The sequence below is a fragment of the Homo sapiens genome, chromosome 6 (assembly GCF_000001405.40).
Source record: "Homo sapiens chromosome 6, GRCh38.p14 Primary Assembly".
Lineage (NCBI taxonomy): Eukaryota > Metazoa > Chordata > Mammalia > Primates > Hominidae > Homo > Homo sapiens.
Genome location: NC_000006.12, coordinates 168,117,110 through 168,142,564, shown reverse-complemented (window position 1 = coordinate 168,142,564; position 25,455 = coordinate 168,117,110). Strand labels below are relative to the sequence as shown.

Below are 25,455 nucleotides of genomic sequence, written 5' to 3'. Positions count from 1 at the left end.
CAGACAGATTTTAAAAAAATCTACAGGCCAATATCACTGATGAATATTTATGCAAAAATCCTCAACGAAATATTAGCAAACCAAATTCAACAACACATTAAAAAGATCATTCATCATGACCAATTGGGATTTATCCCAGGGATGCAAGAATGGTTTAGCATATGAAAATCAATCAATGTGATACATCAGATCAACAGAAAGAAGGATAAAAACCGTATGATCATTTCAATTGATGCTGAAAAAGAATTTGATATAATTCAACTTCTCTTCATGATAAAAACCCTTAAGAAATTAGGTATAGAAGAAATATACCTCAACATAACAAAAACCGTATACAACAGATCCACAGGTAGCATCATACTGATTGGGGAAAAACTGAAAGCCTTTCCTCTAAGATCTAGGTCACGGAAAGGATGCCCACTTTCACTACTGTTACTCCACATAGTACTGTAAGTCCTAGCTGGAGCAATCAGACAAGAGAAAAAAATAAAGAACATCAAAATTGGAAAGGAAGAAGTCAAATTATCCTTGTTTGCAGATGATATGACCTTATATTTGTAAGGAAAAAGAACTCCACCCAAAAACTATTAGAACTGATCAAGAAATTCAGTAAAGTTGCAGGATACAACAAAATCAACATACAAAAATCAGTAGAATTTCTATATGCTAACAGAATAATCTGAAATATAAATCAAGAAAGCAATCCTGTTTATAATAGCTACAAATAAAATTTAAATCCTAGGGATTAACTAAAGAAGTGAAAGATCTCTACAATGAAAACTATAAAACATTCACGGAAGAAACTGAAGGGGACACACAAAATTGAAGGCTATTTCATGTTCATGGATTGGAAGAATCAATATGGTTAAAATATGTATACTACCCAAAGCAATCTACAGGTTCAGTGCAATCCCTATCAAAGTATCAATGACATTCTTCACAGAAATAGAAAAAAACCTAAAATTTATATGGAATCACAAGAGACCCAGAACAGCCTGAGCTATCCTAAGTAAAAAGAACAAAACTGAAGGAATTACATTACCTGACTTCAAATTATATGATAGGACTGTGGTAATCAGAATGGTACTGGCATAAAAATAGATACATAGACCATCAGAAAAGAATACAGAACCCAGAAACAAATCCACACACCTACAAGGAACTCATTTTTGACAAAGGTGCCAAGAACATACATTGGAGAAAAGACATTCTCTTCAATAATTGGTGCTGGGAAAACTGGATATCCACATGCAGAAGAATGAAACTAGACCCCTATCTCTCACCATATGCAAAAAAAAAAAATCAAAATGAATTAAAGGCTTAAATCTAAGACCTCAAACGATGAAATTACTAAAATAAAACCTTGGGGAAATTCTCCAGGACATTGGTCTGGGCAAAAAATTCTTGAGTAATACCCCACAGCAAGGGTAACCAAAGCAAAAATGGACAAATGGGATCACATCAAGTTAAAAAGCTTTTATGCAGCAAAGGAAACAATCAACAGAGAGACAACCCACAGAATGGAAGAAAAGATTTTCAAACTACCCACCTGATAAGGGATTAATAGCCAGAATGTATAAGGAGTTCAAACAACTCTATAGGAAATAATCTAAAAATTCTATTAAAAAGTGGGCTAAAGATCTGAGTAGACATAGAAAAGAAGACATATGAATGACAAACAGGCATATCAAAAGGTGCTCAATCAACATCATTGATCATCAGAGAAATGCAGTAAAACTACAATGAGATACCATCTCACCCCAGTTAAAATGGCTTTTATCCAAAAGACAGGCAATAACAAATGCTGATGAGGATGTGAAGAAAATTGAACCCTTTTTCACTGTTGGTGGGAAAGTAAATTAGTACAACTACTTTGGAGAATAATTTGGAATTGCCTCAAAAAACTAAAAATAGAGCTGCCATAGGATCCAGCAGTCCCACTCCTAGGTATATACCCAAAACAAAGGAAATACCCAAAACAAAGGAAATCCGCATATCGAAAAGATATCTCAGCTCCCATGTTTATGGCAGCACTATTCACAATAGCCAACATTGAGAAGTAATCAAGTTGTCCATCAGCAAATGAATGAATAAAGAAAACATGGTACATATACACTATGGAGTACTATTCAGCCTTAAAAAAGAATGAGATCCTGTCATTTGCAACAATGGATGGAACTGCAAGTCATTTTTAAGTGAAATAAGCCAGGCACAGAAACACAAACTTCACCTGTTTCCACTTATCTGTGGGAGCTAAAAACTGAAGCAATTGAACTCATGGAGAGTAGAAGGATGGTTACCAGAGGCTGAGAACAGTAGTGAGAGGGTGGGGTGGTGGGGCAGGGGGAGTTGGGATGGTTAATTGGTACAAAAAATAGGAAGAGTGAATAAGGCCTAGTATTTGCTAGCACAACAAGTGACTATAGTCAATAATAATTTAATTGTACATTTAAAAATAATTAAAGGAGTATAATTGGATTGTTTGTAATACAAAGGATAAATGCTTGAGAGAATGGATACCCTCATTTACCCTGATGTGATTATTACACATTGCATGCCTGTATCAAAATATTTCACGTAACCCATAAATATATATACCTACCATGTACCCACAATCATTAAAAAATAAAAAATAAAAACAAGTGTCCTATATTCCAGGAGAGAACCCAATGTTTGAAAGAAAATAATGGAGAATATGAGACTTGAGAATTATTCCGAGCTTTGAGGCCATGTAGCTACCTGGATGCCTCAGAAGAATTCACTCTGTCGTGCAGCAATCTCTCCCATGTGTTCTCAGCATTTGGGATAGACCAGTGAGCCGAGCAGTCATATCTGCCACTTGGAGCTCCTCTCTAGCAAAGAAAGAGAAAATAAACAAAGGTGTAATAAATAAGCAAGATTATTATCAGAAATTGGCAAATAGAGTAAGAAGTGATTTTCCTGCCTTTCCTGCACAAATTGTACTTCAACATAACCAAATAACCCTGGATGATGACACTATTTCTTTTTTGAAAATTAATACCAACTAATAACGATGTTGAAGGAATAACAGAAGTAAAATATTTCCACTTCTAATTTTAAAAATATTCATTCATCTATAGATAAAACCACTGGACAATAGGTTGACACAGAGCCTCATAGCAGAGAGCTCCAGCTGTCCCAAGAGCCCAGTGCCAGCCCCAGCGTCCCTAAGAGTGGGCCCACCCAACATAGGGTGCTTCCACCCTGGCACAGGGGAAGATCACAGCCCCAACAGAAGGCGTTCTTGTCAAAATGTTCAGCCCGAGTCTCATCAAGCCTTTAGTGCTAACTTCCAGAAATCGGAGTTACAGAAATGGGGGATAGAGGAACAAGCTGAATGACCCCAAAAAAGGGAGCAAACAGAAAGACCCAGAAAGTGAGAACTTCCACAGTACAATTGACCAGTTATCAACACATGCATGGCATAAAAAAAGGAGAAAAGGGTAGGGCAGCTCGAGAGGAAAAGAGACTTGTAAGATTTCACGTTAATGCACCTGAGGGCTGTCAACATCCAGACAGTTTTCAGCCAAAGATGTGTGGAACACACTGTGGTTGAAAAATGAGTTTATTACTTCCTGTAGGAAGGGTGACCTCTCACTGGTTGGGGGTGGGAGTGTCTCAGTGAAAGGGTGTTAGAAATAACCTGTCACAGGATGGGACTTTGCTGGAGTAATTTGGGGAGGGTCTCAGGAAGATGAGGCCCTTCCCCGCTAGGTTAGGTGCTGTCAGGAAGTGGAGGCAAGTCTATGAGTTGGGGGGGCCAGTGAACCTCCTCCTAAGGAGGGCAGAGTGGAGTAAGGGTAAGGCTGGAGCCAGCACTCATTTAATCAGAGAGGAGCATTTGATGTCTGTGGGTTGCCGAGTGGCCGGGCCTCACATGGGTTTCTGTGAGCCTCTGCCCATCCACCAAAGCAGCAGGTTCAGCTGGGAGCTCCGGGGCAGCTCCTGGGTGCTTCCAGCTGCTTTTGTTCTTTCTCAGCACCAAGTTTAAAAACTGAATACAATTGTTAAAAGACACTTTTAGTTCATCAAAAAAGATATATTATGGGCCGGGCACAGTGGCTCACACCTGTAATCCTAGCACTTTGGAAAGCCAAGGCGAGTGGATCACTTGACTCAGGAGTTTGAGACCAGCCTGGGCAACATGGCGAAACTTAGACTCTACCAAAAATACAAAAATAGCTGGGCATAGTGATACCTGTAATCCCAGCGGCTTGGGAGGGTGAGGCAGGAGAATTGCTTGAGGCTGGGAGGTAGAGGTTGCAGTGAGCTGAGGTCGTGCCACTGCACCCCACCCTTGGCAACAGAGTGACACTCTGTCTCAAAAAGAAAAAAAAGAAAAGAGAAGAGAAAATAAAAGGTTGATTATGGACGAATTACTAGATATAAAAGAATTGATAATGTTACCAGGTGTGATCATAGCAATTTGTTTGTACAAGAAAAAGTCCATGTCTTTTAGAGAAGCAGATGGGCACATCACAGAGCTCAGGTGCCCGACCAGCAAACGGGCACATCACAGAGCTCAGGTGCAATCCTGAAGTTGGGAAGACATCGAAATATGTGTTACAAGGGAGTAAGCAGCCCAAGCTCTGTCATGAAAGTTTCAGTCCAGCTGCATGAAGGGTTAGGAGGGGCGTGTCTCAGACAAGGTTTCCGTAAGGTCACAAGCCACAGTTGTAAAGAGTTAGAGGTTATGAAAAGAAAAGCAAATGAGCCGCACTCTCTCCTTTTAAAATCTTGACAGATGAACCTTTATAATAACAACATTTTTAAAAAGTATTTAAAGATATAGGTTTCATATAATTAAAATGTTGATAAAATATCAAAAATGACTAAATTTAGTTATTATAGCACAAATCTGAATATTTTGTTGAGCAGTTGGTGATATTTGGATAAACATGGGGGCAGATAAACATAATAATTATATATTTATTCTATACTCTTTCTTGCCTTTCTTTCAACAAATACTAATTCAGTTGCTGTAATTAAGATGTTCACACAATCTGTGTTCCATTGAGAGTAACGACAAATTAGACAGCATTTATGGAACCATTGTATTTCTAGATGGATTTTGCTAATTATCATAGAGAAACGGTGCTCTGTTGAAGCAGTAGCAATGGAATTGTCAGTGAAATTGTTAAAGCAATACAGTCAGGTGCCACCTCCTGTTTTGGTGGCGTATGGACTGCATTTAAAATGGCGGTCCCGTAAGATGATACACCGCATTTTACGGTCCCTTTCCTATGTTCAGATGCGTTTAGATACACAAGTACTTACCGTTGTGTTACAGTTGTCTACAGTGTTGAGCAGCCACACCCTGCACAAGTATGTGGCCTGGGAGCAATGGGCTGTACCGGACAGCCTAGGTGTATAGAGGGGGGCTGGGCCTCCCAGGTTTGTGTAAGCGCACTCCATGGTCTTCCCACAAAGACAAAATTGCCTAATGATTCATTTCTCAGAGCATATCCCCATTATGAAGTGACTCCTGACTGTATTTAGATTGAGAGATACACAATTTTTTAATTTTTGTGATAACTGACGTAATAATTTTGCATATTTATAGGACATAACATGGTATTTTGGTACATGTATACATTGTACAATGATCAAATCAGGGTAATTAGCATACCCATTATCTTAAACATGTATCATTTCTTTATGATGAGAACATTCAAAACCCTCTCTTCTATTTTGAAATGTACACTGTTGTTAACTTTAGCCATCCCGTCACGTGACATCAGAACTTATTCCTCCTAACTGTAGTTCTATGCCCTTGCTAATCTCTCACCACCCCCACTCCCTACAACCCTCCCCACACTCTGGTAACCACTCTTCTATCTCTCACCATCCCCACTCCCTGCAACCCTCCCCACCACCGTCCCCACTCCCTGCAACCCTCCCCACCACCGTCCCCACTCCCTGCAACCCTCCCCACCACCGTCCCCACTCCCTGCAACCCTCCCCACCACCGTCCCCACTCCCTGCAACCTTCCCCATGCTCTGGCAACCACTCTTCTACTCTCCACTTCCATGAGAACAACTTTTTAGCTTGCGCATGTGAGTCAGATCATGTGGTATTTGTCTTTCTGTACCTAGATTATTTCACATGATGCAATGTCCTTCTTGTTCATCGTGCTGCTTCAGATGACAGGAGTGGAGTCTTTTTACGGCTGAGTAGTATTCTCTTGTCTATACATATCCACCACATTATCTCTGCCCACTCCTCCAGTGTTGGACATTTGGGTTGATTTCGTGTCTTGGCCTTTGTGAGTGGTGCTGTGGTGAACGGGGGAGTACAGGTGTCTCTTTGACGTGCTGACTTGAGTGGTGCCCAGGATGTGGCCTTGTGTGGGAGAGACTGGTCTGTGAAGGAGAAGTGCGTCACTCACTCAGTCCCAATCGCCAAGCTGTACTCAGGGCCTGCCACCTGCTCTCCAGGGTCATAAACCTCCCCTAAAATAAAGTTGTAACACCACAGGGATTTCAAGGGAAGGTTGGGTCTTCCTTGCTCACACACTGCTATGCGTTGAGTGTATGTGTCCCTCCAAAATGTAGATGTTGGAACTTAAGCCCCAAGATGATGGTATTAGAAGATGGACCCCCCAGGCTGGGCGCGGTGGCTCACGCCTGCCATCCCAGCACTTTGGGAGGCCGAGGTGGGTGGATCATGAGGTCAGAAGATCAAGACCATCCTGGATAACACGGTGAAACCCTGTCTCTACTAAAAATACAAAAAAAATTAGCTGGGCCTGGTGGCGGGTGCCTGTAGTCCCAGCTACTCGGGAGGCTGAGGCAGGAGAATGGCGTGAACCTGGGAGGCGGAGCTTGCAGTGAGCCGAGATCACACCACTGCACTCCAGCCTGGGTGACAGAGCGAGATTCCATCTAAAAAATAAAAAAAGAAGATGGACCCCCCCAAAGGGGATTAGGTCATGGGGGCTCTGCCCTCATGGGTGGGATCCGTGCCCTCGTAGGAGGGCCTGAGGGAGAGAGTTCGCCCCCCTCTGCCCCTCCGCCCACTCTGATGTCAGGACACAACCACAGGTGCCAGCTCGGAAGCAAAGAAGAGCCCTCACCCCACACTGAACCTGCTGGCACCTTGATCCCGGACTTCTCAGCATCCAGAACTGTGAGAAATCAATTTCTGTTGTTTAAAAATTACCCAGTCTAATGTATTAGGAGTGGGAATGGATGGAGACATACACATCACTTACTTCACTTACTTCACTTCCCTCACACCCAACCCTGTATGACTCCCACCCCTGCATCCCCGAGTCCTGTACATACACCCAGGCTGGGCGGGCTTGACCCACTCACCCCTGCACCCCTGAGTCCCGTACATACACCCAGGCTGGGCGGGCTTGACCCATTCACCCCTGCACCCCCGAGTCCTGTACATACACACCCAGGCTGGGCGGGCTTGACCCACTCACAGTTCTGGCCCAAAGTCAGAGAAGCAGGGACTCTCAGGCTCCAGCCCTGAGATCAGGCCCAGCAGGGGGCTGCACGGTCATCACAGGGACTGATGGGGCCTGCCTGACCACCAAGTGGCTGCATCTGACGACTGGACGTCCACGCTGGAGCACCTCCTTCCAATCACCCGCCACAGGGCTCCTCTTCTGCGCCAGCATGCACACCCTCCTGCACACCCTCCTGCACACCCTCCTGCCTCCCCTGCTCTCCTTTCTGTAGGGATTTCACTTGCCTCATCGGGAGGTGAGGAATGGAGGATGTGAGCATTCTTGCAGGGACTGCTTCTGGCAGGGGGGAGCACAGCTGCAGGACCTCGCACCAAGGCCACGGCCGGCCTCTGGTTAAAAGCAGTCTGTAAACCAATTTGGGTTCTCGCCTAACCCAAACTTCTCCAGGCTTTGCCAGTGTTTAGGAACAAACACGATCGTGTGAACAGCAATCATTAGAAATGCACCTGCCCTATCCCCAGCAGCTGCAAAGCCCTCCCCTGGGTGCTCCTGGGTCCTGGGAAGTGTGGAGAGAACACGTGCAGATCAGCCCTGCAGGTGCAGACACTTCTCCAATCCCTGTGGCCTCAACCCAGTGGCTGCAATATGCATCCCTCACTCGGTCTACGTACCAGCAGCTGCAGTGTCCACCCCTCACTTGGTCCACATCCCACGTCCCAGAGCCTCGTGGGGACACAGCTGCACATTGGCCTCTGTCCAGAGTGTGCAGGAAGAGAGGAGAGTGTCCGGTTGAGGGGCTCGGCCCCTGTGACACCCTAGAGAGGTACCTGAGGCTGTGCTCCACCACACTTTCCAGGGTTCAGGGCATTTTCTAGGATGGGACTTTGTGTCACCTTCAGCCCTCTTTGCTTAGCATCCCAGCCATGTGTCCAGAGGACAGATGGGGGCTGGATTTCCACCCAATGCCTACTGGTTCAGGGGCATCTGGTCTGAGACCTCAACGTGTCACTGAGTTCTCCAGGCACGTGATACTCAGCGGCCAGCAAGGGCTTCATGGACCCAGGGGCAGCTAGCAGGGCTGTGACACCGGGAGGAGGCCATGCCTTCAGGGACTCCAGCTCTGAGTAGCCAGGAGGAACATGCAGTGGACTCCTTCACGGATGCTGGTGCAGGAAGCAGAGCTGAGAACCAGCAGGTCAGCAGGGGACAGCTCCGACAGCACAGTGAACATGTGAAACAGAGAGTCACCATTGCAGGTTCATCCGCTCTGCCTGAGGACATGAGCACGTGTCCCCAGCAATAACGTCCACTGGACCCTAGACAGGCTTTCCCAGTATTCACTATCAGATGAGAGTGTGCAGGTTAGAGTTTGCCAGCAGAAGCTGTTCTACACAGTTGAGATTTGGTTCCTTTTTTTTTTTTTTTTTTTTTTTTTTTGACACAGGGTCTTGCTATGTCACCCAGGCAATTATTATTGGAAAATTACTCTTCCTGCGGAAAATGAAACTGCAGCTTGGGTTCCACAGCCTTCTTCCCGCGCTGCCTCCAGGTCTGGGTATCTGAGTCAGAAGAACAGCTTGGCCTGCAGACCTGACCCTCTCTTAGTTGCGTGTAGGCATCTGCAGGCTTATCCAGGGGGTCAGGGGGGCCCTGAGCCTTTGGCTTCCTAGCCAGCTCCGGACGGTGGTGCTGCCGGCAGGCCCAGCGGGCTGCGCTTTCCTGACTCAGCTGCTGGATGGCGGCCTGCAGTCTGTGAGCCGCGCCGGATTGACGGCCCTGCCAGTGAGCTCCATCTGACCCCACAGCTGCTTCTTTAACTCCTTCTTTTTCAGTGACCATGCAGTATTTACAAGGCACGTTCAGAGTTTATCTTTGAGACCAATTGCAAATCAGAGCGGTTATATTTTAAATGTTTTAATTAATTCTTCTAAAGTCCCTTTTCCTGAGTTACTGTCCGTATCAAGGCAGAAAGGCACCCCAGCTCGCCTGGAATCTCAGGCATCAGACAATGGTTCTGGGACAACCCAGTAAGTGGAGAAGCACCGAACAGCCACCAGATGGCAAAGTTGATTCGACGAACAGGACCGGGCACAGGGGCCGCCAGACAGGCGACGTGACCGGCACCCTGATGTGCGCCGCATTGCTCCTGCGGCCCGGGCAGGCGTCCGATCGCCTCGCATCCCACCAGTCGTCTTATCACCAGGCGGCTCCAATGTCTCTGAGGCAAGCAAGGGGTGATTCATACTGTGCAGCTTTCAGCAAATCCTCCCAGCTTGTTCCCAAGCCCTGAGTCCCGGCGTTGAAGTTTGAGAAACAGCCGCAAAGCAGGATGAAACGGTGCAGCCCATGGGCTGGACGCGCTGATCTTACGGGGATCAGCCACGACTGGAAAACACAGACGTGCTGTTTCTCCTCAACAGGAAGCCCGATTCTGGGGAGTGCCTACAGCCCCGAGTGGGGACAGCAGTTCCAGGCGGAAGGTGCAAAGTCGCCCTCTGTGATGCAAAAGCACTGAGGTCAAACCTTAGGATCCCAGCGCAGCTTGAGGTGAAGGTCCCTGTTCCCTTCCAGCCTTGAAAGGAGAAATTCCCAGGAAGACACAGGAAACGAGTTTGCATCTTACAGGAAAAGAAGCTGAGCCACCAACAGCCAACTCCTGCTACAGAATCCTGTATCCCTCATGCATCTTTACTGAGTGCCTGCTGTATGCCAGGCAGCTTTGGCAATGGGGTTACCGTGAGCAGAACAGCCCTGGTGCCCACCACTGGGGAAGGCGAGACAGCCCACAGGTAACTCCAGGTGTGGTCAGTTCTAGGAGACAGGATGCAGGGTCAAGGACACTGAGTGGGCCCTCCTCCAGCAGCCAGGTGACCTGAACTGCAGACCTGGGGACTCAGATCAGCTGGCTGAGAAGGAGGCAGGAAGAAGGCTTTCCAGGTGGGGGGATGGGAGAGCCAGACAGAGGCCAGTGCGGCCGGAGCTTAGCAGGCAGGGAGGAGAGCAGCAGGAGCAAGGCAGGCAGAGAGACAGGGCAGACAACTATCCCTTCCTCGGACACAGGAATCTCCTAACTTCTCTCCTCCAAACTCTTCCCCAACCCACTCCTGGCCTCAGCCCCCTGCCCACCTGAACCCGCTGCTATCAAGGTCACAGTGACCTTCTCATTACAGCAGAAGCCTCTCTGTCCACATCTATGTGACCTCTGGTTACCTTCCCACTTGCTGACCATCGGCTCCTCCCCAAAACACACCTGTCTCAGCTGCCCCAGAAGATCCCACCCTCCTGCTTGCAGAAGGAACCAAGCTTCGCCTCCACCTGGAGACCCAGAGCTCCTCCCCGCTCTGCCCTGATGCCTGCACTCCGTGAGCCACTTCCATGAGCCTCCTTTCCATTTAAACGCCTTTGCTGTGAAATGGTGGCGGGAGCGTCGAGTACGAGCCGGGCACAGTGTGAGACCTCGGTCCTGACCCGGGAGCTTACGATCACAGGAGGCAGGCAATCAGCAGAGCAGCTCCCAGGCAGCATGATGGGCCCGGAGCACAGGTGGAGAAGCAGGGCAGGAAGGCTCACAGAAGGGGATGTTTGGGCTGGGTTTTAAAGGATGTGTAGGAGTTCATTGCTCACAGGAGGGGCAGTGAAGAAAAAGAAGTGGCAGGGACAGGCCCAGGGGTGTGAGACGGTGGGGGTTAGGGAGGGTGCTGTAGGAGCAACTGGGAAGATTGGGTGAAAGGCACATGGGGTCGACCTGGAGATGAGCTTTGGAGCCAGGACACAGGTCCTGAGCTGGGCTCTGGCCTCCTGTGAGAGCTGCCTCCTGTGCTCCCTCCAGCCACAACATCTCAGCAGGTCTCCTTTGAGGAGGGTGGGGCTATGGTTAGACAAGGGTGCATATCTCCCACGGACAAGGCATGATGCTATGTCTATAGGGAGCATGGCACAGCTGCTGGCACCCGGTCAGGTGCTGCTCTTCTCACAGGCACAGCCCTGCTAGCTCCCACCGCTGCTCCGCACCTCCCCTGCGCCCTGGAGCTCCTCCAGCACCGTGCTGCTGCTGAGGAGATGAACTCCCCACAGGACGGGACGGGACCCTGAGGGAATCACCTTCACTTCCCCAGCACAGGGGAGCATTACAGGTGCTCACTCACTGCCTGATGAATAAATGAAAGACGGTAGGAAGCCCTGGGGAGGCTCCAAGCTGCAGTGTGAGGCCCAACGTGCAGAAGTTCCCGCCAATTCCCTGCTGCCCCAGCACAGGCAGGACAGGCCCCCGCCTGCCTCTCCCCCAGCTCAGATGCTGACCTGGGGGTTAATTGCTTCGGGTCTTTGAAGTCTTTGAAGTTGAAACACCTGAGCCTGCTGTGGAGCCCAGTTAATCATGGCCCTTGTCGCTAACTGCTGTGAGCACACAGATGGCCAGATAAGAACTGGGAAGAAATGCCAGGGTCTGGGGGCTGTACATACCCCCACCTCACAGGCCTTGGCAGGTGCCGGTGGATGGTTTCCTTCAGGGAAGGCTGATCGCAGCCACGTCACCAGATGGTCCCAGCCGGGACGGCCCCTGGCGTCAATGCTGTCAGGGTTGCCAACCAGTGGTCTTCTCGTGGCCGACCGTGTGCCCCCCACACTCAGCCGCCAATATGTCCACATTTCCTGAGCCAGGTGCTTTGGGAGAGGCCATCTCCTGGGTCTCTGGCCTCGCAAGTTTCTGGGGCAAACCCTCACATGCGTCCCATCCGATCTCATTGGTCAGCCCAGGCATGCCTGCCTGGGTCAGGTTCGTGCATGGTGTGAGGGGGCAGCAGCCAGAGAGCTGGAGTCAGACCAGCCAGGGCCTGGCTGCCTGTCCTGGCTCTGGGACTTTTGGCATCATCGACGCAGGGAGGGAGCAGAGACCAGAGCTCAGCACGGGGACTGCGTCAGACACCCAGAGGCCTCCATCAAGGAGAGTGGCCAACCCCTGCTCCTCAGAACTCCAGGTTAAAGTCATCAATCAAAGCCTGACGTTCAAGAGGAAAGGGAGAGACAGTCTCTTCGCACCTGTCTCTGGGGAGAGAAGGACCCTGCCCGCAGCCTGCTGGTGGTGCCTGGGCGAGCTCTCCTTCACTCTCAGAGAGAGAGAGAGACAGAGACCCCTTCTCTCCATCAGAGGCAGACAGGGGCACCGCCTCGACGATCAGCTTCCTCAGCCAGAGCTGGGGCCACCTGGAAATGAAGCCCAGGAATTTGCTCCTCGGTATTTTCCAGGGTAGCTGTTCTTTCAACTCCTGCGACACTTAACCACGCATCACAAATAACTGATGACCACTAACGGTTGGATTGTAAAGCTGACCTGCGTGGTGGCCGGCCCTCAGCCACCCCTGACCCCCGTGGTGGCCGGCCCTCAGTGCCCCCGCTCTGTGGAATCGGTGCCCTTGTGCCACCCCCCTCATTTGGCTTTTTGACAAAAAGAATGCAGCAAAAATAGCTTTGGAGATGAAGACATGAGAGGCCCTGCCCGGCCTCTGGAACGCTGTCTTCGGGGGAGCCCATGTGCGGAAACCACCAGGCGTGAGGACGTCCAGGCAAAGGAGGAGAAAGTGCTGGTCAGGCGCGCGGAGGCAGGGGCCCAGCTGAGGCCTCAGACACTCCAACCAAGGCCTCCCCGTAGGCCTCCAGCTGGGTCAAGTGTCCAGCGACCCCAGCCCCGGCCCCGGCCGCCATCTGACCATCTGACGGCAACCACATGAAGGACCTCGAGCGAAAACCGGCCGCTGTGGCCAGACCAGCCACACACACGCTGGCAATTAATGAACCGTGTTGAAGCCGTGGCACTTGGTGGCGGTTAGAGTGCAGCCCAAGGTAACTGGAACAATGATGGATTCACTTTTCTAAAGTAAGAGGCACGTGGCAGAGTCGGAACACGCTTCCCACTGAGAGGCGAAGTCTGTGTCCCACACCCCGCTCTCCTCGTGGACAGGCCTTAGCAGCTGGCCGGTGCCCGCAGGGGAGGTGAGGCCACCTGACCTCCGAGGCCTAGGCGGGGCCGGAGAGGCCAAGTCGCTTCCACCTAGTTTCCTTCAGGTGTGGGAAGTCTGACTGCCTGGGGGCGCCAAGCGGGAGACGGCTCAGCTGGACAGGGCTCAGCTGGACAGGGCTCAGCTGGACAGGCTCGGAGCACACCGCCGCCGGCCGCCAGCCTAGACCACCAGCACTCGCGCTCAGCAGCTGTGCTCCAACCCTGCTTCTCCTCCCCTTTGTTCCCACTGCTGCTCGTCAATATGCACCGTCCTCCCACACTGTCCTCCTGCGTTTCTCTCTGAGAAGCGAGGATTATAAATGGGGCATGGGCTGAGTGGCAAACACCAGCTTCCCTAGGCCTGACATCTGCTGCAGGCAAAGCTTGTTCCAGCAGCCTCTGCACTCACATTGCACCTGGAAAACCACCCACCTACTATTCCTGCATTTTCATCTCAGAGCAAGTGGGACCAGGGAGGGGGCCTAGATTCCCCCGGACTCAGCCCCCCATGCCACCCTCTCTGTGGAGAGTTTCCCCATTTTGCCCCACCCTGGGGGTAAAGCGCCTGTGAATCCCAAGCCGGGGATGCCCCTGGGCTGCTGCTTAGAGGAGCGTCCCTTCTCCAGCAGACGGGCTCAGCCGGGCGCTTGGAGGCCAGAGGCAGGGTCACTGCTGGGGATGATGGTTCTGAGACTTCGGCTCTTGCAGGCGTCCTAATGGGAGCTCACGCTCCTCGAGAACCTCCTGTTCCCGCCACACCCCTCGGTTTCATCTAGTGCTTCTGGCTGGTCTTCCAGTCACCCTCTGCCTTCTTCCGGGCTCTCAGACACCAGGCAGCTGTCTCTGGGAATAAAGGGATCAAAAGAGCCCCCCAGCACCGCCAAGGCCGGGATCCCCAGGCTCCACACGGAGTCTGCATGGATGGCGTGTGCCCAGGGCCCCTCTAGCCATCCCTGGGGACCCTTTGCTTTTGTCACCATGGGAAGTGCCCTCTCCCACTGTGAGGCCCCGGGCATGGTCACTGCACATCAGCTGTACGATGTGGCCTTGCTGACATTTCCAATCCTCTGAGGGCCTCCCTGTGTTTTTAGGGACTAAGGTTTTATGACAAATGAAAATCCCATTGTGTCAAAATGCCCAGGAGGCACCCCGGAAAGAAACTGCTGACGAGAGAGCCGATGGGTTGACCGCAGCTGTGCAGCCACCACTGCATCTTTTAATCAACCTTCTGGAGGAGCCATTTCATAGATGAAGAAATTACAGAGGGAGGTCACTTCTCACACCTAGAAGAAGCCAGAGGCGAGACACCAGCCCAGGGCCAAGCAGCCGCAAGGAGGTCCAAGCTCCCTGCCATTGGGCCAGGGGGAATGTTGCCTGTGAGTCTGTGATGGTCCCATGCATGCACACTGCATGGCTGTCTTTGCTGGAGGCCTGGCTGTGCCGTATTGACCCTGATGAGTGTGGTGCACAGGGTGCTATGTCCCTGTCTTCACCCACTCGTGTAGCCCAGAGCCAGCGTTGGCATTTGTTGAAGGCACATTTTAATCTCCACCCAGGCCCACACTTGTGCTCCAGGGAAGCAAGCCAGCCGTCTAGAGTGACGGGCAGCTGCCTATGCACCTTGGCAGGAGGTGTTTTTAAACTTGCAATTTAAATTGTAGCTTTGCTGGAGGCCCTAACGTCAAACAAGCCCTTGGAGACACGCTTCCTTGTGAGTTCTGAAACCCTGCAGACTAGCACCCGGCCTGCATCAGCTGGGGAGTCCCTAGACCTTCCTCCACCTAAAATGGGAGCAAACAGGGGAGCAGATGAGGCCCCACCAAAGAGGAGCCCCCTTTAAGAGGTATCATCGCTCACTGCCTATCCCTCATCCCTCAGAGTGCTCTCCCAGGCCGGAACATTCCAGAGCATGCCATTGACCACCCAGCTCCCCCACTTACGCCATCTGAGAGCTAGCTGCTGTAGGAATGGGTCCTCTTTGCTCACCTTGAAAGTTCTCAGACCTCCACTGGCACTCACACCCGAAGCGAGGGAGTTAGGGAGCAAAACCACACAGGCCATCTCCCTGGAGCCTCCTGGGGGTGGGCGGTGCAGGCCTCCTGCATCTGTGCAGAGCTAACTGCACAAGGTGGGCCAGGGGGCTTAGAGCCAGTGCCTTCCGGAACAGAGCAACACACCCGTCTCCCAGGTGAGACAGGTCACTCCCAATGCAGCTCCTCAGAAGCCATGCCAGGAGCCAGCCTTGCTGCAGCCGGATTCAGGACGTCATGGCGTTTTCTGCCTGGATAACAGGCCGCTGCGTGTGCATCACACTTGGCTCATCTGTTCCCCTGTTGGACGCTCGGGTCGCTCCCACCTTTCGGCTGCTGTGAATGGTGCTGCTGTGAACACGGGGTGCAAGCATCTGTCTGCACCTCCATTTGGATGCTCGGCTCGCTCCCACCTGTCGGCTGTTGTGAATGGTGCTGCTGTGAACACGGGGTGCAAGCCTCTGCACCTCTATTTTCCATTGTTTGGGGTGCACACCTAGGAGGGGAATTACTGGATCATATGGTAACTGTATACTTAATTCTGAGGTGTTGCCAAGCTGTTTGACAGTGGCAGCTCCATTTTCTGCTCCCATCAACAATGTGTGAGGTCACCAACTTCTCCACATCCTCCTCAACTCTCGCTGTTTTCCATGTTTTTGATAAAAGCCATTCTATGCTGAATGAAACAAGCCAGACACAAAAGAACAAACACTGTGTAGTTCCACTCACACAGGCACCTGGAAGAGTCAGATTCCTAGAGATGGAAAATAGAACAGAAGTTCCCAGGGCTGCAGGAGGGGCAGGAGTCAGATCCATGGGGATGGAGCTCCTATTAAGGCTGACGAAAACGTCCTGGAAAGAGATGGCGGTGAGGGCCACGCCACACTGTGAATGTACTTAATGCCACTGAGCCGCACACATAAAACGGTCGACATGGCAAAGCGATGTACATTTCGCCACACGAGCAGAAAGTTAAAAGAAAAGTCATGCCAAGAATTCTCCACTGGCGAATTCCCTCCCTTTCCTCCTGAGCCAAGCCCACTACTCATCGTGAGTTCAGAGCTGCGTCCTTCCTAGAGGGGCCTCCCAGGGCCAGGATTGAGCTGCAGACACAAAGTCGAGAAGGCTCTGCAGCCCTGGCCTGGCTCTGCCACCCACCTTCAGATTCCAGGAAGCGTGAGGACTCCTGGGCCCAGGGATTTCGGTGAGCCGTCTGGTCACGGTGACTGGCACGTGCACTTTGATGCCCTCCGACCTGGGACTTCGCATCTTTCTCGAGTTTTTCTCAGTCAAGCCTCCTGTGCCCTGTGTGTGCCTCTGGAATCTTCCGGTCAGTCCCGCCTTTGCTTTCAATGAACCATGAAGGTGTGGCCACGCTCACCCCGGGGGGCTGGATAGGAAACTCCTATCTCAGAAAAAACACAGGGTTAGGAGGTCCTGAGAGGCAAGCGCTGTCTGGCTGTGACCTCTCCCTACCTCGCACCTGCCCCGGCGCTCACGATTCTCTCTGTGAATGTGTGCAGTGTGTCACCACTCCACCAGAGAACTGTGGGGTTCTGGGATGCTCCTAAAAGAGCCTCTTTCCCTTTTCAAGGCTTTCGGGATGTGAGAACCAGAGACAATCGGGCCAGTAAGCCAGGACCTATGTCCTCTCCCCCGGGGAGCCGCAGCCCCTGCTCAGGGAAGAGAAAGGGGAGGCGTGAATAGTGGTGGGGGGTGCTGGGCGCCGAGAGCCGTCAGGGCCTGGGACAGTGACCCCCTCCGTCCAAATAACCTGAACCTCTTGTTCACTTTCTTTCCCTCACGAATTAATGAACTCCCCTTCTATAAAGTAGGAATCCCAGTCATGGTCTCCTCTGAATACCCCAGTGTCACGTTTGGCCACCCTGCCCCTCCAAATGCTCCTCCCGCCAGCTCCAGCCACAGCCAAGGAGGCCTGAGGACTCACATGCGGCTTCGCCAAGCCAGGAGAGGCAGGGTGGATGGTCGGGGTCATCCATGGACTCCTGGCCTGCGTCTGAGGTGGGTAGTAGAAGTTCCACCAGATCACTCCGTCCCCTGGGTGAGGGAAGGGTACCCCCAAATATGTTTGGTGAGGGATGGGAGGCATTGTTTATCCCGGGGCCATTTGAACATCGGAAACCCATGCATGGAGACAGACCGGTGGAAAGCCACCCCTTTGCTTCTGCAGTTCGTGGGTCCCATGCTCTCACTGTCATCTTTGTACCATGTGAACAATGTATGACTCAGGTGAATCACTGCAGTATCATTTACATCAGCTCAAGGTGGAAATGAGCCACATGCCCATCAAATTCACAAAGATACAGACAATGCACTGACACAAACATACCGCTAAGATTGTGTTAATGCCGACAACAAGAGTATATGTTTGTGTTTCCTTATACCTGTATAAATCACCCTGGAAGGTTCAGAAGAAACTAATAAATGCGGTTATTCTAGGGATGGGGGGGCAGGTGAGGGGGGTTTCACAATGTGTATCCATTAATATCATTTTTATTTTTGAATCATGAATATATTACCTATTCAAACATTAAATTCTTTTTTAATCCTGTTAAAATAATCACCTTATACAAACTGGTTCTTTTCTGTTTGGGGCCCGTGTGGATTCTGAGGGTGAGGAAGGTGGCAATACGATCCTCGCTGGCGGAATGTGTGTGCGTAAGCTGGGGTAGGCTTATTTGTTTATCTGCATTTTTATGCAAAGCAGCTGCACATTGCCAAACCTCTGGGTTCATTTGCATAATTGAAAACCACACCATGGAGAGCATGGGGCAAAGTGTCAATAACCAGCTCACTCTCCTGTTGTGTTTCTTCTGGAAATACAATTTTCTAGAAAAACTCCATCAGATTAGGAAAAAATGCCTGAGACAACCATCAGCGTTTACACGTAGTGCTCTGAAAATCAACAGCCTCCTTATCTTTAAAGTCAACAGGCTCAGGTAAATTGCCTCAAATGCTCAATACCTGGTGAGAATAGAATGTACATATCATCCCATATATAAATACATCTATGTATCAGTATAAGTAAGTGGGTAAAACCCACAAATATAAGTGGCTGTAGCCCATAAGCAAAAGCTCTCTGGAGCCCCTGATACATTTGAAGAGGACAAAGGGATCCTGAGATCAAAAAGTTGGAGGCCTGCTAGAATAGTGGATCTCTAAGTGTGATCCAAACCCAGCAGATCAGCCTCACCTGGAAGCTCGTCAGAAAGGCAAATTCCCAGGCCCCGTCCAGCCCTCTGACCTCCCGAATCAGCCACTCTGGGGTGGGCCTAGTCATCTGCACTTTAACAGGCCCAGCAGGTGACCCTCTTGAAGGCTGAAGTTGGAGAAACACCATCCAGAGAAGCACCTCCCACACTGAACCTGATAGGAGCCCCAGGAGCGGGGGCTTGTTAGGATGATCCTGACTGGGTCTGGGGTGGACCTGAGAGTCTGCATTTCTAAGCAGCTCCCAGGGAAGCTGAGGTTGCCAGTCCTGAGACCACACTTTCAGTGGCAAAACTCATCAGTGATAAAAATCCTCCCAATTTGAAGGCGTGAAAAGACAGTTTGTAACACCTAAGAGGACTCACAAGCCCCAGTCTATAATCCCCAGATGGGTTTAATCCCTTGAGTGAATCAGGCTAAGATGAAAGCTTGGGTGAGGTTAATTCACTCCCCCTAAGGGGTAAATGAACTTAGTGATCGCTCCCCCATGCTGCTGTGCATTGGGACTGAGTGGATGGGTGACCCTGAGCCAGCAGGAGTCTGGTCTTCATTTCATTCCCTGAGTGCACCATGATGTCAGAGGGGTGAGAACACCGGGGTGCTGTCCGCTGTGATATGAGTCCATTCTCACACTGCTATGAAGAACTACCTGAGACTGGGTAATCTATAAAGAAAAGAGGTTTAATTGACTCACTGTTCTATAGGCTGTACAGGAGGCATGGCTGCGGAGGCCTCAGGAAACTTACAATCATGGTGGAAGGTGAAGGGGAAGCAGGCACATCTTCACATGGCAGCAGGGAAGAGGGCAAAGGGGTGCTATCCCCTTTCAAACAACCAGATCTCATGAGAACTCACTATCGCAAGAAGAGCATGGGGGAAACTGCCCCCATGAACCAATCACCTCCCACCAGGTCTCTCCCACAACACATGGGGATTACAATTCAGCATGAGATTTGGGTGGGGACACAGAGCCAAACAATGTCAGCTGTTGAAGAACTGGGGGCCGTCCCAAACACGGCCATGGAAGCTGGTGTGTCTCTAGGGCTCCCAGCTGGCAATGCAATCAGTGATCAGATCAGCCATCACCCTCGGACTGAGAAAGGGTAAGAGTCACCCCCAAGCACAGAAAAGGCCACAGAGTCAGGACTCAGCCATAAGCAGCGGCCAAGGGGGATCCTGGCTGCTGTGTCAAATGCGTCTCTGGACAAAGAGGGACAGCACAGGGTGCAGCATTAAGTGTTCAAATCATCCAACCAGCTCCCGCCCATCAAGAACGTTTCAAATCAGAATGACCTCAGAGAAGGGGACAGAGGTGAGCTCGTGGAGGGCACACCACGACAGTGGTCATCCTGGGTACGGAGTGTGCCAGTGAGTGGCCACGAGAGGTTAGAACCAGAACCTAGGCCCCAGGACCCTGACTGCAGCTTAATGCCACTTCCATAGTGTGACATGGTGTTTCCACGCGAGGCTTAGAAAATCCTATAAGCGGAATATGGAGTCTAAGCACAAAGTCTCCCAGACAAGGAGGTGTGGGAGATTCTTGTGATTCTCTCCCAGCCTCAACCTCTCTCCAGCCTGGCCCAACCCTCTTGACGTCCATGAAGCCATGGGTGGCCTTCAAAGCGACAGCACCAACTTGAACCGAAGCCCTCCTGAGACAGGTGGCAGTGCCGCCGCGGGACCCAGACCCAGCTGGCAACGTAAACCCTGTGTGAATCCCTGCTGGGAGGTTCGGCGATGCTTGACGCAAATGCTTCTCCTCTAAGAGATGGTTTAATTTCCAAAGACTGGGTTAAAATCATGGCCTCAGTTGGTCGCTAATGAAACTGAGACCTGTTGGAATCCTCTGCAGCACACTCGGCTTTGCATATGCATTGATCCCTTTCCTTGAGGCAGTTAACAGAGAATCTCTCTCTCTTCTCCCGTCTCCCCACTCCTTCTCCCTCTCTCCCCCTCTCCCTCCCCCTACCTCTTTCTCTCCTTCCCTCCTGCCCCTCTCCCTTTTCTACCTACCCTGCCCCTTCCTCTCTCCAACCCTTCCTGTCTATTAATCCAGATGGGGTAGGCTTATGAGGCCATTAAAAATGACCACAAATTCTCAGGGGCTTGAATCATTACAAGCTTATTTCTTGTTCAACCAAAATCTACTGTGGGGACAAGTGAAATTGGAGAAACTCATTTTTGTAGCAACCTTGGCCCCAGGTGGTTTCATCTTTCGGCTGCAGAATCTCACCGTCAGGCTTCTCCATCTAGGAAGGAAGGGGGTGCGGGTGCGGGACAGTTCTGTTCCCCTCATGGTGAACTGCATGGCCTGTCCGCTGTCAGGGGCTAAGAAGCTTCAGTTTCCAACGGATGGGAAACCACCCTGATGCAGCGGCAAGCCCAGGCTCACCACAGGCCAGCCGCCCCAAAGGTCACCACAGAAGGGTGCCCACAGATGAAGACACCCATGGTGAGACAGGCAGGAGGTGGGGCTGGTCTCTCTCTGCAGGCTCCAGGACAGAGACACCCACCTGCAGGGAGGGCTTTGTGGGAGAGCTGTGATTTTATTTGCATTTCTTAGGCAGAACACAAGTGGGCCAGAATGAACGGTGTCCACAGTTGGTGCTGAACGGGTCACAGGTTATCTGGCGACCTGAGGCCTGGTGCAGAATCTGCCCGGCCTCCCTTCACAGCACACAGATGCTCCTCTCCTTCCTGGCTGGCTTCCATTCTTACATCTCTCTCTCCTCTTACTCATTTCTTTCAGTTTCCGTGGCAGAATCGAATCATCCCAGTACTTTGGAAATACAAAGGCGGCGTCTGTCACCGGAGCTGAGGGCAGGGGCACTCAGAGGCACCCCAGGGCTCCCCTGGCCACCCACGGCCTCTGGGCTGGAGGGGAACCCAGCACCAGCACCTCAGGCAGGGCCACAGTGTCATGGCCACCCACGGCCTCTGGGGCTGGAGAGGAACTCAGCACCACCACCTCAGGCAGAGCTGCTGTGTTGTGTGCTGAGTCCCACCACCCCATTGCCCTCCCTGTCACAGTCAGCTCCAGACAGGATCTGAACAGCAGCGGGGAGGTGGGGAGGACCTGCTTGATCTGCTCCAAACCCCTCATTTGACTGATGAACAGGCAGGGCCACAGAGGCTAAGTGACGTGACCAGCTTCAGAGAGTGAGCCCCCAAGAGGGCTGGTTCTAGCACACATTGCTGGGCCCACACCCAGGTGCCTGATTCACAGGATCCAGGCTGGGGCCTGAGAATTCACATTTCTGATTGTACCTTCGTGGGTGGTGCTGTTGCTGCTGGCCTGGGACCACACCTGCCAATCACAGAACAAGAGGCCTGGGGCTCAGAACCCAGGATGCTTAACTCCTCAGCCAGTGCTCTTTCTGTTCCACAATACACGTCTTCTGATTCAGAGAACAAAAATTCTATTAATAAGTGAATTTATAGTATTAAATAAAAGGTTTAAATTTGAGTAAAGAGCCAACGTCACACTGTTTCCATAGAGGGTTTCTCAAACAAACCACTGGGGCTCACAGACTAACACTGACTGGGTGCATATTAGCCATCCTGCTAGGCGTTTTATATGCACGGTGTCACTTCAACTGCACAAAGCCTCCAGTAGGGAGGCACTGTTCCTATCTCCATTTTAAAAATAGAGAAACTGAGGCAGATAAAGTTAGCGGTACAAGAGAGTGCAGTGAGGAAGAGTGTACACTCTGGAAGCCACCACTGAAGCTTAAATCCAAGCTCCACGATTCATAAGCTTTCTTTTGATAAAAATAATGATGATGATAATGGTAGTGGTGATGGTGGTGATGATGATGGTGGAGATGATGGTGATGGTAATGATCATGATCATGATGATGGTGATGGTGAATGATAGTAATAGTGAAGATGGTGGTGAAGATGGTATGTTGAAGATCATGGTGGTGATGATGGTGATGTTGAAGATAATGGTGATGGTGGTGAAGATGATAATGGTGATAGTGAAGATGGTGGTGAAGATGGTATCTTGAAGATGATGGTGATGATAGTGATGTTGAAGATAGTGGTGATGGGGTGAAGATGATGATGGTAATAGTGAAGATGGTGGTGATGATGGTATGTTGAAGATGATGGTGGTGATGTTGGGTGATGTTGAAGTCAATGGTGACAGTGGTGAAGATAATGATGGTAGTAGTGAAGATGGTGGTGATGATGGTATGTTGAAGATGATGGTGGTAATGATGGTATGTTGAAGATGATGGTGGTAAAGATGGTATATTGAAGATGGTGGTGGTGATGATGGTGATGATTAGTGATGATACTGCTTTGAAATGAAAGCTGATGGTTACAGTTAGACACTGTGCTCCTGGGAAAACTTACTGACCAGAGGTATAAGAACATTACTGAACCTTTCCAGAAAGAATAAAATATTAGCAAAGAAGATGTCTGGACCCAGAAGCAGAGCTCTATCAGTGTTGGACATAAAGGTACCTACAAGTGACATGCGTGGTAGACAACACTAGACGACCATCAGAGGGCACATGTACATTTCCCAGTGCTTGGCTTTGCTGGTGAGAAACAGTCCAATGGATGGTTTCCACGGCAGTGGGCAGGCTTATCCTACCATCTCTGGTTGGAGCCACCTGTCTGTGCCTCAAAAGAGCTGCTCTAATTAGAGGCCAATTCCCTGACGGTGGGTAATGCAGACTGCACTACAGCATACCTGAGTCTTCTGGGCAGGTTTCAGCTGGGGTGGGAGCCATTCCTGGGTTGCCAAAGGGTGAAGTGAGCACGAAGCTGGCGACTCTCTTTGGAAGGCAGTGCAGTGCAGGAGTAGTGTGCCAGTCCACAGGCCTAAGGGAGTCAGAGGCGGCTCCCCAGACACGTTCCCATGGGCTGCTGTGAAGCTGTGGGTGCAGTCTGTCTTCGTCTGTGTTGGCTGCTGTAATAAAAAATCATGGACTGGGCAGCTTAAACAGCAGAGATTTATTTCTCACAGTGCTGGAGGCTGGAAGTCCAAGACCAAGGGGTCAGTAGATTTGGCGTCTGGGGAGGGTTGCTTCCTAGACTTTTCCTTTTTTTCCTGTCCTTTTGCTGTAACCTTGTGTGGGTGGAAGGGATGGGGGAGCCCTCTGGGTTCTCTTTCGTAAGGGCAGTCATCTCATTCACGAGGGCTCTGGCCTCATGAACGAATCCCCTCCCAAAGCCTCCACTTCCTAATACCATCCCCTTGAGGGTGAAGATTTCAATATATGAATTTTGTGGGACACAGACATTCAGCCCACAGCATAGTCCTAGGTTAATTTACAGATACCTATTTAATACACGATGAGATTATTTAAAGTGGAAGCTGATGTTACAACAATGATAGTATTACAATGAGAAAATATAGAGATAGCAAAGTGCGTATTTATTTTGCAGGCCAGGAAAAGAAGCAGGCCTGCTCATATGGCATCTAAGCCACCAAAATCGCAAGCAGGCGCAGGCATGCCGAGGGTTCAGAGGCTTTTAACCACCTTCACTCTGCCAGTGTAGCTATTTCTTTTCAGAGCTATTTTCCTTTCTCTTGGCTCAGATATTCTGCATGACAAGAGGTGGAATGTGGACAAGTAGGAGAATGCCATTGCCCGGCAGAAAATGACTCCACTGTGAATTGTGGAGAGGAGGAAAAGAAGATTTTGGTACAGGGACACCAACCCAAAGAAAGGAGTCAAAAAAAACACATGGGGCAGCTCTGCATGCGACCAACAGAGAGCGCCATGAGCCCACCCAGCTTGGTGGCTCCAGGTAATTTGCAAAATTAAATTAAAATATAATTAATTTCTGGGTGTAACAGGGCACTGATAATTCAGTTGTTCGGACCTCAATGTGATACAATCTTGTCTCAAAATCCCATAATTCCATAAAAAAGTGATTATTTTTGAAAAACATACCTTTGTGACCCTAGATTAAAATGCACTTTTTAATTTGTGATTTTTTTATTCAATGGCAATCTGTATTTTATTTTCAGTCACTCAGACTCTCAAACTGTCTTCATTTCAATTTCCAGATCACTCTACTCGACCTCAGAATAAAACATGTTTTAGCTCCAACTGCTGCCCTCAGAAGACTTCCCATGTGCTGGGAGTTTCTTGTCTTGCCCTGCATGGTCTGTGGTCCCAGGAATCCCAGGTGCCTGGCTGAGTCGGGACAGTGGTGGAGGAGTTGCCCCCTGCCCTGCTTATGATGGGGCCAGCCCTTGGCTGAATCTGCCTCTCTGGAAGAGAACCTGGTTCTGTCTTCTGCTGTCCTGGATCCATGGGAAAACAGGACACAAAACTGTCAATAATCGCTAGACATGCTGGGCAGGCTGGAACCCAGCGCCCTCTGGCCCCACGGCAGCTCTCCTAAGCTCCTATCACATCGCAGATGGAGCTGGGGATGCTGTGGAGTCCTCACAGGCAGCCGGCCCCTCCCATACCACAATCAGATCCAAGGCTGACAGCCACGGAGGGAAACGCAGGCCTTCCTCAGCACGCGGAAAGCACAGGGAACACGTGAAGCCCAGCCCTAAACAGGCCACTGGAAAACAACGTGGGAATATGTAACTTGTCCTACTAACTTAGTGTATGTGCACACTTGAAAAACAGGGCATTTCCTGTGCCTTGGAGGGACTGACAAGCACCCGGGCTCACTCGTGGACTCTGCCCATCAGCCGCTGCTGCTCACGGCTGACTCACTCTGAAGAGCTGACCTTTGACATCTGACTGGGGGACCAATCAGATTCCTTGCCCTCGGG

General features: G+C 50.5%; 4 annotated features.

Moving 5' to 3' along the window:
• Positions 12,823-13,420: an enhancer, noted in NCBI's record as "H3K4me1 hESC enhancer chr6:168529825-168530422 (GRCh37/hg19 assembly coordinates)". NCBI's record gives its function as "activates a minimal SCP1, AML or CMV promoter by ChIP-STARR-seq in primed H9 embryonic stem cells {active_cell/tissue: H9 hESC(primed)}" and the evidence as "EXISTENCE:reporter gene assay evidence [ECO:0000049][PMID:30033119]".
• Positions 17,013-17,526: an enhancer, noted in NCBI's record as "H3K4me1 hESC enhancer chr6:168525719-168526232 (GRCh37/hg19 assembly coordinates)". NCBI's record gives its function as "activates a minimal SCP1, AML or CMV promoter by ChIP-STARR-seq in primed H9 embryonic stem cells {active_cell/tissue: H9 hESC(primed)}" and the evidence as "EXISTENCE:reporter gene assay evidence [ECO:0000049][PMID:30033119]".
• Positions 20,959-21,520: an enhancer, noted in NCBI's record as "H3K4me1 hESC enhancer chr6:168521725-168522286 (GRCh37/hg19 assembly coordinates)". NCBI's record gives its function as "activates a minimal SCP1, AML or CMV promoter by ChIP-STARR-seq in primed H9 embryonic stem cells {active_cell/tissue: H9 hESC(primed)}" and the evidence as "EXISTENCE:reporter gene assay evidence [ECO:0000049][PMID:30033119]".
• Positions 24,717-25,216: an enhancer, noted in NCBI's record as "H3K4me1 hESC enhancer chr6:168518029-168518528 (GRCh37/hg19 assembly coordinates)". NCBI's record gives its function as "activates a minimal SCP1, AML or CMV promoter by ChIP-STARR-seq in primed H9 embryonic stem cells {active_cell/tissue: H9 hESC(primed)}" and the evidence as "EXISTENCE:reporter gene assay evidence [ECO:0000049][PMID:30033119]".